Here is a 13,228-nt window from a genome sequence, read left to right as displayed (position 1 = left end):
TGGTGACAGAGCAAGACTCCGTCTAAAAAACAAAAACAAAAAACAGAATTGGGGTCCATTTGAGAGATCTCCACTAAGGGTGGGGATGAAAGTCATGAAAACTGCCCTTTGACCAAGTGGGATGTTCTAAGATTGTCTGGAGACAGTAAGTGGCCAACGCGCTGTGTCTAAACCAGCCTTCTGGGCACCGTTTTGCCCCTGCAGCAACATGCCCACTGCTCTTCCTAACAAGCTTGCCACAGAGATCCACAAACCAAAGGCTAAATAAACAATGCGGTTCTTCCGGAAGGAAGGGAGGTGAGAGGCTGACATTCGGATTTGAACGCTGCTTGTTTGGTAGGAAGTAAACCTGGTCTCTTCCAGCGAGGGAGCACCTCTGTACCGTAACACTGTATTCCTTGCTCAGGCTGGAACACCAAGTTCAGGGGGCAGGGTGGCCCTCTACACAACCTTGTTGCCCGGGTTTTCTTTCCCATCACCCCGGTGTCCTTGCACGCATTAAGCTTTCCATGGATGCAATGACAGGCACGCACCCTTGTCAGACTCTGAACACAAAGGCAATCCCAGGACAGACTAGTGTTGGAACCGCCTTAGTTTGCCTGGACACAACGTAACTGAAACTTCTTTTTCTTCCCATTAGCTGGAGTTTAAAAAGCGTCTCCACAGCTGTGATGGCTGAAGGCTTGAAATGACAGAGCCACTTGCCCCATAAATCAGCATGCAACACCCCCCACGTAAACAGATCCGGGAAAAAAAATCTACATACGCAATAAATGTGTACAGGTACTGGAGACTGGTAATAAAAATGCTTGGATCTGCTTTCAGTTTTTCCCTTGTCTTCTAAATGAAGCTGAAAGCAAATCAAGCACTAAGCCCTTATTTTTCTGATCTGAAAGCAGGTGAATGTGGTCAAGAGCAGGAGATATGCAGATGAAGGGGGGACCCCTAATAGTGGAAACCTGGGTGTTCATAGCCTCTTTGGGGAAGCAAAGCCTTGGGCAGATCCCCAGGGTGAAAGCGTAGACTCTTTTTAAAGACTGGGCAGGAGGGAGGGAGCAGGCGAGGCTGGAGCCCGCATTGTTGGGCTGCTCTGACTTACATGGCACCTGTAGACCCAGGGAGAACCTGAGAAGGGGCTCCTGGGCCAGGGGCCAGGCAGGTATTTGTGGTTGTGTGTGTGTGTGCATGCCTATGCACTGTCGTAGACCAGGGTTTCACAGCTTTTAAGAACAATAAAAACATTCAGAATTCTTCTAGTGGCCCCACGACGTAGGGCCTTCTGGTTATTTAAGATCTCCAACATGCGTCAAAAGCAGCTTAGGAGGGGAGTCCAGATCATCCCTACAGCTGCAGAAGAGCACAGCAGCCAGTAAGAAAGAAGGGTAGTGGGGGAGCGGGGTGTGGGGGAACATGGATGGTTCCAGAATTTCTTCAGAGAATTAGTCAAGGGTCTGAAGTTGGCATGAAACGGGGTTTGAGGAACTGGGGAGTTGACTGGGAGCTGGTTTTGCAGAGCAAACATACTGCTTTAATGTAAATCAAGTAGTTTTGTTCATTTGATTTAGGAGGCTGGAGTATGATACGGTTTGGCTCTGTATCCCCACCCAAATCTCATCACGAATTGTGATCCCCACATGTTGAGGGAGGTACCTGTAATCCCTACGTGTTGAGGGGAGGAGGTGATTGGATCATGGGGGTGGTTTCCCCCATGCTGTTCTTATGATGGTGAGTGAGTTCTCCTGACATCTGATGGTTTTATAAGTGTTTGACAGTTCCTCCTACACACATTCTCTCTCGCACCTGCCACGGTGTAAGATGTGCCTTCTTCAACTTTGGCCGTGACTGTAAGTTCCCTGAGACCTCCCCCGCCATGTGGAACTGTGAATCAATGAAGCCTCTTTTCTTTATAAATTACCCAGTCACGGGTATATCTTTATAGCAATGTGAAAACAGACTAATGTAGAGTTTAAAAATCTCCCCAAGCTACCTCACCCTGGCCTGCCACTTCCAAAAGGTCTAGTTAGCCCGAATAGTTTCATTTCTAAGCCCTTCTCTCAATCTTCCAGACCAAAGTTGTAGCCACCCCAGGGGTGCCTGCTCCCCATCCTTGCAGGTAAGAAGGGACATGCGTATTTTCCTGCTCCCCCACACTCCTTTAAGCAGTCATGCCTCGCCTGTTGGCTGCTTGTTGTGCCTGGCTGATGGATGCAGCTCCAAAGCTGAAACACCGTCAGAGTTTGTGTGAAGGGAGTTGGGGTGGAGTGGTTAACTTATCTCCCATGAGGCAGGTGCTTTGACCCAAGGGGCATGGTACATTCTAGAAATGTGTAGCCACCCCCCGTTTCCAGGGGAGAATAGGCTGTTTGGGTAGAGCTGGCATCACGAGGGGAGAAACGAGGCTGGCACCTTCAGAGCTGGCTCTTTAAGCCTGGCCCAAAGCAAGTGTGTGAAGTTGCTGTCTGGGGAGACCTCTGGAACAATTTCTGGCCTCATTCTGCCTTCCCCAGCAAGCCAGCAAGTCACAGGTACTATGGGCCCAGCACTGCACTGGAGATGGGAAGTCATATTAGTTATTAATCATCCTTGAAATAGCCCTAAGGGTGTTCTGTTAGTTTTCTAAGGCTGCTTTAAGAAACTACCACAGACTTGGTGGCTTAACACAACAGAAATTTATTCTGTCACAGTTCTGGAGGCCAGAAGTGTGAGATCAAGGTGTCGGCAGGGCCATGCTCCTTCTGAAGGCTCTGGGGGGGATTTCTTTACCTCTTCTGGCTTCTGGTGGCGCCAAGTGTTCCTTGGTTTGTGACTGCATCACCCCAGTCTGTTTCTGTCTTCACATGACCGTCTCCTCTTGGTGTTTGTCTGTCCTCTGTGTGTCTCTTAGGATGCTTGTCATTGGATTTAGGGCACACCCACGTAACACACGATGATCTCATCTTGAAATCCTTAACTTATTTATATCTGCAAAGACCCTGTTTTCAAAAAAGGCCATGTTTAAAAGTTCCGGTGGTTAGGACATGGGCATATCTTTTGGGGGCCACTATTTAACCCATTGCAGAAGTGGAGGGTTGGAGATTTGAGGTTTGGTGGCCCTCTCCAAGAATTTTACAATCAGGTTAGTGGAGAACAGGGTTGGTACTCGTGAAAGAATTTGCTAGGTAACATATTTTATCCAAGGGGCTGCTGTGGTGGCAGAGACTGTGTAGAGAGGCCAGGCCCATTCCCTGCCTCACCCTGCCGAGAAGGAAACTTGCTTGGGGTGCGTCTTCCCAGCGTTTTTTCTCATTTCATCCTCGTAACAGTGGCGTGAGATAGGCACTGAGAGGTCAGTTAACACCTACACAATCATGTGGTTGCCACATGGGAGAGCTGGGATGCAAATCTGTGTGAGCTGATTCTGGATCTGGGGATCTAAATACTGGTAACCCTGACAGCTGCCCAGCAGGCCCTCTCTGATGGGGGAGCTTCAAGGGAGGTGGGGACCCACACTTGACCTTCCTGGAGGCTAGAACAGGAGACAGAAAGTGAGTGAGCTTACCTAGGCCAGAGGAAGGCTTGAGGGTCATTCTTGGGTGGACAACAGCTATAGGAATAAGCCCTGCACAGGAGGGGAACAATAAGAGAAGACTCTTAAAAAAGACTCTTTAGGCTGGGTGCGGTGGCTCACGCTGGTAATCCCAGCACTTTGGGAGGCCAAGGCGGACAGATCACCTAAGGTCGGGAGTTCGAGACCAGCCTGGCCAACATGGTGGAACCCCATCTCTCCTAAAATTACAAAACAATTAGCCAGGTGTGTTGGTGCTCGCCTATAATCCCAGCTACTCGGGATGCTGAGGTGGGAGGATCACTTGAACCCAGGAGGCAGGGGCTGCGGTGAGCTGAGATCATGCCACTGCACTCTAGCCTGGGCTACAGAGCAGATTCTGTTTCAAAAAAAAAAAGACTCCATAAAGACTTCCCTTCCCTTCACATCTGCCCACGTGAAGGGAACTCTTTAAAGAAAAAATGATTGTCTGAGCTCACTGGGGCAGGCCTCAACCCACGTCTCCATGGAATGGAAATAGTATCCCTTGTGGCTTCCTGAGGAGGAAAAAGATTTTAGGGGGATGGTGTTAGGCAGAGAAACTGGGGGGGTGGGATGGCATGATGCCCCCTGGGTGGTAGCTGGCCGCTGTGAGGTGGGTCCATGCTTTCTCCCTCTTCTTCTGAGTTTGTCCTTGACTTAGCTCTGGCTGCCATAACAAAATACCACAGACTGGGTGCCTTAAACAACACGTTTATTCGCGTACAGTTCTGGAGGCTGGAAGTTCGAGATCAGGGTACCAGCATGGTTGGGTTCTTACCGAAGGCCCTCTTCCTGGCTTGCAGATGGCCACCCTCTCGCTCTGTGCCCACCTGGCATTTTCTTGGTGCAAGGGCATGGAGAGATTAAGCGATATCTCCCACTCTCTTCCTCTTCTTATCAGGCCACCGATCCTATTAGACCAGGACCCCATTCTTATAACCTCCTGTAATCTTCATTACCTCCTAACTCCATCTCTTAGTCACATTAGGGGGTTAGGACTTCAACATATGAATTTTGGGGTGGGGGGCACAATTCAGTCCATAGTAGCCCTCCTCCTTCCTTCCTTCCCTCCCTCCCTCCCTTCCTCCCTTCCTTCCTCCCTCCCTCCCTCCCCTCTTTTGCTCTGGTCTCATGTCCAGCCCCCAGACAGCATCCACGGGAACTACAAGACTGTGGGCATTGACCCTTTTCTTCCCCAGCCAGTGGGGTGGCTTCTGAGTAGCCAGTGGCTTTAAAGCCAGCACCAGCATCTCCTCCTGGCCTCACTGTTCAGACCACAGGGAATCCCCTCAGCCTTCAAGTAAGGGTGAGAAGGGGCAGCGGGTGGCCAGGCAGCCCAACCCAGGGGAAAGCCAGAAGCCGGACTTAAACCCGGCTCAGCTCTCACCCTCCAGATGGCCCTGACAAATCACTTAGTCCCTTTGAGCCTCAGTTTCTCTTCTATAACCTAGGGTGGTATTAAACCCCCTGGCCCTGCCTCCCTGACACAGCTGTTGTCAGGTAACATTGGGAAAGGACTAGAAAGAGGCAAAATGTGATAGAGTTCTAAAGAGAAACCACAAGTGTGTGTAAATAAGAAGTCGTCATCCCTGGGCCACGAGGAAGATGGCTCTGCCCACATCCATTCGTATCTAGGCTTCAGCACGAGGACGTGAGTCCTGGGACCCGGCACGCACGCCGTGGGCAGGAGAGGCTCTCCCCTGGCTGCCGCTGCTCCAAGCACATGTCCCACGGTCAGGGAGCTGCTGTTCTCTCAGGGGACGGGGGAACTGCATTTCTCTGGAGATGGAGACCTGTTTGTTGTCCCCACTGATGTCAGGAGGTCCTAGAGATAAGGGTGGCCTGCTACCCACAGATGCCAGACACCCACAGCCTTCCGACTTTCCCACATCAGGGGTTCTGAAAGAGAATGCCGTCAAAGAGAAAGGAAAAAACCCACGTCCTTTCCAGGAGATGAGTCCAATTTGTTTTCAACTGAGTTATGTAGAAGGAGGGTGGACTTTTTGGTGGAAGAAAGTCCTTTAAAACAGAAATGTGGTCCAGGATGAGGTGGCCATTGTTAAGTCAGGTCAAAGGCAGAGCTACCCATGGCCGTCTTCACGTGCCTCTGGAGGGTCAGAAAAGGGGCAGAACAGGAGAAAATGCTGAGAATGGCCCATTTCTAACAGAGAGTCTTGATCTTCTTGCAGAATTTTGGTTTTTATTGCCTAGAAATGGGTGGTTTTTCCTCACAGAGAGCAGCCTTGGTTTCCCTAGCCTCCTCTTGGCCTCCCAATTGCTGGGTGAACTTGGGGTAAGATGCTTGCCCCTTCTGAGCCTCTATTTCCTAATTTCCAAAATGCAGACAGAGGTATTGACAAGTGTCCCTGCCTGTCAGGCTTCTGGTGAGGATAAGAATTGTGGATAGAGCTGGGCGTTTCCACGCCTATGCAAACACATGGGTGGCTTCAGCATGTTACCAGTTCTCTCTCCTTCCAGAGGCTGGAGAGATTCCTCACAAAAAATCTCCTGACCCCTGTGGAGTGGTAGAGAAGGCTTTACCCACCTGAATTCACCAGTAGCTCCAGGTTGCCTCTGCTTTCCAAAGAATACCCCTTCCTCATTTGTTGTTCTATTGGCTGAGGGTGTAGAATCCTGGGTTGTGGTGGGTGAGCTCTTACGGTTCCCCTTGACCTGCTCCTTTTCACAGATGAAAGGATGGAGGCCCAGAGAAGGGGCCAGGCAGCCGCACAGATGACATGCAGAGGAGTTGGTAAAGGAGCTGGGACAGGAACCCATGTCTCCCGACTGCAGTCTCCTGATGCTGCCCGAAGAAAGGGTCCTTTCTTTTTTCTCCTTCCCTTGACCTGTTGAAATTCTGCCTTGATGATGTTTAGAGGCAGCAGAGCTCAGATCTCAAATGGTGCCAGTGAGCTGTGCTTTGTTTGGCCTGTGTTATGGCTAAAATATTTTGGAATTGGTTCTCCATGTTAAAATTCAGAAGACTTCACAGAAGCATGCATATTTCAAGTGCTCTTCATAGAAATGCAGATGTTGGCGACATTGGCTCCCTCTGCCGCATGGCCATAGTCCCTAGAGGGAATTAGCATTTGTTCATTTTAGACGGGGCACTTGAGTGCCACCTGGTCAGCTCGCACCTGGCCAGTTTCACTCTGTGATGTGTCTGCCTGGTCTGTGTGGACACTCGTGCCCTTGACTCCTGAGTAGAGCTGGTTGCCTGGCATCATTAATTCTCCCCATCTCACAGACGACACATCTGGACCACAGGTGATTCCTGTTTTGCTACTTTCTGATTCTCGAAACCAGTTAACTGGGCTTTGGGTAAAATTGAAGGCAATAAGACATCCCATTCCATAATGGAGTTATTTTCCTAGCGTCCATTTGAAAACGCAAACTTTCCAGAAAAAAAAATTACTTTCTTTCCCAGTTGACCTAGTTGCAAAGGAAAGTCTTATTTTCTTAAGGGGCTGAGATCTTGCTGGTGTGGTATGTGGAGAGGCTGGTCAGCATTTCCATTAGGAACACTTTCCTGGGCTTTCAAACCCAGCCATAAAGATGTGTTTTGGATGAAAATTGGTCCTTCCCCAGTAGAACCTGGGAATCTTTATTTCAAGGACTCTTTCAAAAGATCTTTCACTCTTGAAGTGCAAATATATGTGGTTTGTGGCTTACTAGACCACGTTTGGGGTTTGGGATTTTGCTGTATGACATTTTCTCAACCTTTAATTTTAAAGCCATCATCTCCTATATTTATTTCCATGGTTAAAATAGGTATTTTCTCTCTCTCTCTCTTTCTCTCTTTTTCTGAGGAGAGTGTTGCATAAAAGGGAACTTTGTCCATCATTCTCGGCTGGGGTACAGACTGACATGGGGCCTTGGCAGAATCTTCATGTGGATGTCTCTTAAGTGTGTTAATTTATGTTAGTGGACAAAATTAAGTGGGCATGATTCAATTATGTAATGCAATTAAGAGAGGTTTGCATTTACAGCAGTGTTTTGCTTGTTACTCTTGTTTTGATCCTTGCCTGGCAGTCACAGGTTTTTAAAATTATCTGGATTTAATTATTGGAAAACAGAGCTTTTTTGCCTGATATGATTACTCTCAGGAAAAATTTTGAAAATCTACCGTGCATAATCTATTCACTTTTTTCCAAGAATGGCTGGACATTTTAAGTGTGAAGGGGTGGCCTACTTCTGTAATGCAAACTGAACTTACCAAATACACACCCATTTGCTCCATCCGTGTCCACCTGCCCAAGTCTGTGCCTCTTCCCATGTTCCCTAACTTAGTCAAGACCGTCCACGCAGCCTCCCAAGCCAGAGACTCTAGACTCGGCCTGGACTCCTCCCTTCCTCTCCTCTCTAATATCCGGTGAGCCACCACTTTCTGTCCATTGTCCTGACTAGAGTATCCTGAATCCATTCTCCTTCTCATTTCCCAAGCCTTCATCTCTTGCCTGGGCTCAGCTTCCTCACCGGCCCAGCTGTACCAGTCTCTCCCATCCAGGCCACCCTTTACCCTGCTACCAACCCATTATAGTCCTAAAAAAGTCGTATTTCATCCCATCCCATTCTCTTGCTTAAAAACTTCTGTTGGCTCCTGCGGCTTGCAGATAAAGTCCAAAGTCTGCAGCATCATGTTCTAACCACCTTACCAGGGCCTGATATACGCCACTCCCTCCTCAGGAAACTTATGCTCCTGTTGCTCTGAAACCATCGCTCCGTGGACTTGCAGGCCCTTTCGTGACACAAGCATTCTGTTCTCTATATCTAGAGTGGCTTCCCTCAGACAGTTTTCATTGGCAAACTCATTCAAGGCCCAGGTCTAACATCATGTCCCTTGGAAGGCCTTCCTGGTCACTTCCAGATAGAGTCAGCACTTTATTCAAATCTCAGTGACAGCATATATCATGATGTATTGTGGTTTATCTTTCTTTGGGTCTTATCTTCTCCTAGACTATGAACACTGTGAAGGCAAATTTTCAGATCTTTATTGCTATGAATTTCTGTCCCCTAATACGGTGACTCAACGCCAGAGGATGCTTCATTAATGTCTGACGAATTCAATAATGCCTGAATAATCATACCTAATATTTATAAAGGGCTTGTCACGCACCGGGCGGTATTTCAAGTGCTTTACATATTTTAATTTTTACAACCACGTTTGTAGTATAAGCACGCTTAGAATTTGATTTGCTCCCGAGAAAACAGAGGCACAGAAAGGTAATGTGAGTTATCCAAGGTCACATAGCCTGGACTGAATTCAGGCCATCTGAGCACAGAGCCTGCTGGTGGCTGAATCCTCACATTATTCTGTTTCCCAGTAAATGAGTCCCAAGTGCCCAGATAATTTATGGGTAGATTTGAGGCAAGAGTCATAGTAGGGCCTTAAACTCAAGATCCATTCCTGGCCCTGAGTTTTGCATCTCAGACTATGGACCAAAAACTAGATGTCTGTGGTCTTCATCTCCTCGGCTCGTAGGTCTGGGTGATCCACAGGGAGCTTGGGTAGGAAGGTTGATAAACTGCTGGTCTGCCTTTCTGAGCAAATCATTTATAACATGAAATCCTGATCTGAACAAACCCCTAATAGGGAAGGTCAAGGCGTCAGAGGAAAAGGAAGGGACACATTAGCCCCTTCATCATCATCATTGTCATCATCATCATCATCATCTCATCACTTTCATTACCTGGGAGTTGCTTTGAGGTCAGAAATAGACTTCACGCAAGAATGAGTTATAGTTGTCTGTACATTTGCTACAGAGCACAGGGATATAGATGAATGACACGGTGTTGCTGAAGTTCCCTCAGGAACACCACTCAGGAGAACCCAGGTAATTACCTCCTTCCTAGAAGATTTGGTTGGAATTCATCTGCCTGGAACGGTTTAGGTACTACCTTCCCTGGAGACAGGGACCTGAACTAGGTCTCTTCCCAAATTCCTTTCACAGGAGCGTAAGTTCAGCAAACAACACCCAGAGTTGACATCTCAAACAGAGGGTCTACGTGGAAATTGGCCAGGCTTGCTAGAGACAGGGCCTGGAGGAGCGAGCCTCACCTGGCTCAGGTGCCGCTCTGCCACTGAGACAGGCACTTGCTGCTTGTCTCTCTAGCATAATTCCTCCCTTACTCTTTCCTAATCCAGACTCCCTGTTTTGGTGATTCAACTGGTTAGGGGGAAGCTGATTCATCTCCTGGCTCCAGGGATGGAGCCAGTACCTGGGCCAGGCCAATGACCAGGCTCTGGCCTGGTCGGAAATGGGCATGTACCCTAAGTCAGTCCAATCAGAGGACTTTTTCCTGGGGATACAGGACAATGAGTGAGACTGTTCCCCATGGAATGTACCCCTGGATCCTATAGCCCTGAAGGCTTGTTAGAAATGCAAATTCTTAGTTCTTGCCCCAGATCCTCTGAATCAGAATTTCTGTGCCAGGGCCCAGGAAACGAGCTTTCCAGATGATTCTGATGAGCACTCAAGTTTGAGAACCAATTCTCTCTTCAGTTTACAGATAAAAAACAGGTGCAAAGACTTGCCCAAAGCCACACAGCTGGGGAGAGCCACTGCAGGGCTAGAACTTGGCTTTGCTTCCACCCACACCCTCTAAGAGCCATCTCTTTGTTTTCATTACATTGTAAAACTATTCCAATGACAGAAATCTCACCTTTTGAAGTTCCTCCCTTACCCAGGCCCTTTACTCCAGGCCTAAAAATAAACGACACGTGCTCTGAGGTTACACCGGGCGAAGCCTCCCTCTTACTCCCAGGCTCATGTGCCGTATCACAGGCTCCACGGAGGCTGCATTTAGGAGAATTTGGAGTCAGCGAGGACCACACAGTGTCTGCAGGGACAGGTCCATGTTTGGCCCAAGAACCAGGGCATACCAGGAGAAGGCTGGTTGCTATCATTCCTGGGGGCAAGCTGCTAGTCTCTCAGCTGGTTCCTGCTGATGGATCTGAACACTCAGTTTGGGTTGCCACCCCGAGGCTCTGCTCCATGCATATGTGAGGGTAGGTTTGTTTTTTTTTGGGGGGGGAGGTGTGTGGGGGGACACAGCTGGTTCCTGGCCAGAGCCGTGGCTCCAGTCTGAAAGTCCAGGCATACCTAAGTCGTCTCCTGTGGCTCCCCAATGCCATATTAGGCTGCCCCCTCTGAAGGGTGGAATCTCTGACTCATCCTCCCTCCCCAACACCCCCTCACTCCTGCCAGTTTTGGCCAAGATTAGAATTCACTCAAATCTGTGGGTTCTAAGGTTTATGTGCTATTTCACTTTGGCAAATGACTCCTTCTTGTTTCAAGTTCGAAAAAAATCCCTTCCCGAAAGGGGCTTTGAAAGGCTTTTCTTGGCGACACAGTGTTTTGGGCAACCCAAAAGCAACGTGGTGATTTCAGTGCCCTGAGTCAGGAAGAAGCCGATTGCATTTCTCAATATATCCTGGGGTTAATGGATGAGAAGCAAGGAGGATTTCGAATCAGAAGGGCAACAGCAACACCCTCCTGCCATTCTTGAGCACACCGCAGGTTTCCAGTGCTGAGCTAGGCACTCTCTGCAGTTTATTAACCCACACCAGTTGTTACCCAGTCCCAACAGGTATGCAAACTTTTTCCCATTTTAAAGGTGAGGAAACTGAGATTCGGAGACATCCCGAGCCTAAGGCTGAGCGGCTGAGAAGTGAGTGAGATGGGAGCTTGGGTCCTGCCCGTGGCTATGCCCCGTGGTGGGCCTGGTTCTTGGGAAGAGGCACGGGGTGTGCTCTGCTACCCCAAGGTGACTGGAGGTGTGTGTTCTTTACACCACCACACCCTGGGATTTGGAAGATGAATCAGTCAGGGCTTTTTGTTGTGGGTAACAGGATAGGAAGTTGAAAATGAGGGGGCAGCTTGAGAATCAGAGAGAAAGCAGGAGAGGAGCGGGGCACAAAGGATGAGAGCCCAGGAGCTCTGAGGGTTTCTTGGCAGAGCTGATGGAAGGTCTCTGACAGTGCTGGTCATGGAACAGAGGCCTCAGCCATGTCCCCTGCTGTTGTCTCTCTGCTCACGATCCCGATTCCAGGGAGAGCAGGTGCAGTGGGCTCTGCTGGGGTCTGGCGCCCATCTCCTGTCTTTGGGAGGGCAGGTGTCTTGAATGACGATCCCATCAGACTGTATCAAAGTGGGAAAGAGGCCATTCCCCAGGAAGAAATCAGGATGTTGTTACTAACAGAAAGAGGGAGGAGAATGGGTGTTGTGTTGAGTGGCCAGAAAGCCTGAAATGTGCATGATACCGGGTGTTGGGTGGAAAAGCTAGAAGTTCTCCCATCCTCTGGCTGTGGGGTGAGACTTTCCTCTCTCTTACATCTAAGAACCAGAGATGCATTTGTAATTGCAGCAGACCTGAAGACATTGCTCTGTTGTAGACTGACTGGTCATTCTGAAAGGTGGCTTTGAGTGACGGGCCAGTTGTGATAACGAGGCTGATAAATGAAAACCGCATAGAGCTGGGGCCTCTCCTTCAGAATATAGCCCCTCACCACCCACCCCAGGCTTAGGATCCTGGCCTCTGCAGTTCCCAGCTTTGCTAATCTGCAGCCTGTGGGATCCGCAGGGCCAGCCATGGGGAGCTATTCTCACCAATTATGACAACTCCGTTACTGGCTCCCCAAATTTTGAACCTCTGGGGCAGAAAATGCTGGCAGATAATGAATGGGAGCTGAACTAGCTACTCTTCCTTGGTCCGCCAAGAGATGCCCCTGGGATGAAGTGGAATAAAGAAAGACCAAGAAATCTCACGAGTCTGAGCTGAGCTGGGTCTTATAGATGACCCAAGCCAACTGTTTTACTTTAGAGAGGGAAACTGAGGCTGAAGAGAGTCAGGCAGTACCCAAGCTTCCATGATCAATTGATGACCGAATGGGGAGGGGTCTCCAGACTTTCTGACCTGCCCAAGGGTGTGCCACCCACCGACTCAGGGTCTTCTCCAGCCACTGCTCTGGGCAGCTTCCCTTCCAGCTACCATTTATTATGTACCAACTGCAATTTATTAAGTACCTACTGTGTGCACAGCTACCAACTGCCGTTTATTAAGCACCTACTATGTGCACAGCTCTATGGGCATACCAGGACTCATGAAACCCACTGCCTACTCTCAGGGGGTTTACAGCTAATTGGGAAGAAACAAGGAAACAGCTGCAGAAACAGGCTGCAGGCGAAGGGTTTGCTGCAGGGACTTGGGCAGGTGCCAGTTTCCCTCTCTGGTTTCAGGTGGACCCAAGCTCTTGCATCTGTATGTGTGTGCAGGTATATGCTGAGGTCTCAGGTCAGACCCTATTTCTTTTTGCTTCCCCTTTGGGGGGTTGCTGGGAGCTGGGTTACTGGTGACGAGTCTGCAGGGTGGGGTAAGGGTGGGCATGTTTACAGTGCTTTCTGGGATCACATGTGTTCTCATCTTCTCGGCTTGGCCAAAGTTTTTAAGAATGAAGAATGTAAAAATTCCCTAGTAACAGCTTTCCCACCTGGGCCTTGGCTGCTTCTCCTGGCCAGTGGCTCCATTACCTTCCTTTACACCTGTCCTAACCCTCATTCTAATTCTCCAAGTCCCAGCTCAAAGAGCCTACCCACACCTCTCCTGGGGAAGACTTGCCCTGTCCCAGGAGTCCTTTCTCTGCAGATAGAAAGTGTCCGGGGC

General features: G+C 49.2%; 1 annotated feature.

Moving 5' to 3' along the window:
• Positions 10,910 to 11,899: an enhancer, noted in NCBI's record as "H3K27ac-H3K4me1 hESC enhancer chr10:123218320-123219309 (GRCh37/hg19 assembly coordinates)". NCBI's record gives its function as "activates a minimal SCP1, AML or CMV promoter by ChIP-STARR-seq in primed H9 embryonic stem cells {active_cell/tissue: H9 hESC(primed)}" and the evidence as "EXISTENCE:reporter gene assay evidence [ECO:0000049][PMID:30033119]".

Source organism: Homo sapiens, chromosome 10 (assembly GCF_000001405.40).
Source record: "Homo sapiens chromosome 10, GRCh38.p14 Primary Assembly".
Classification (NCBI taxonomy): Eukaryota; Metazoa; Chordata; class Mammalia; order Primates; family Hominidae; genus Homo; species Homo sapiens.
The sequence above is the reverse complement of the archived record's forward strand: the minus strand, read 5'-3'. Positions and strand labels throughout refer to the sequence as shown.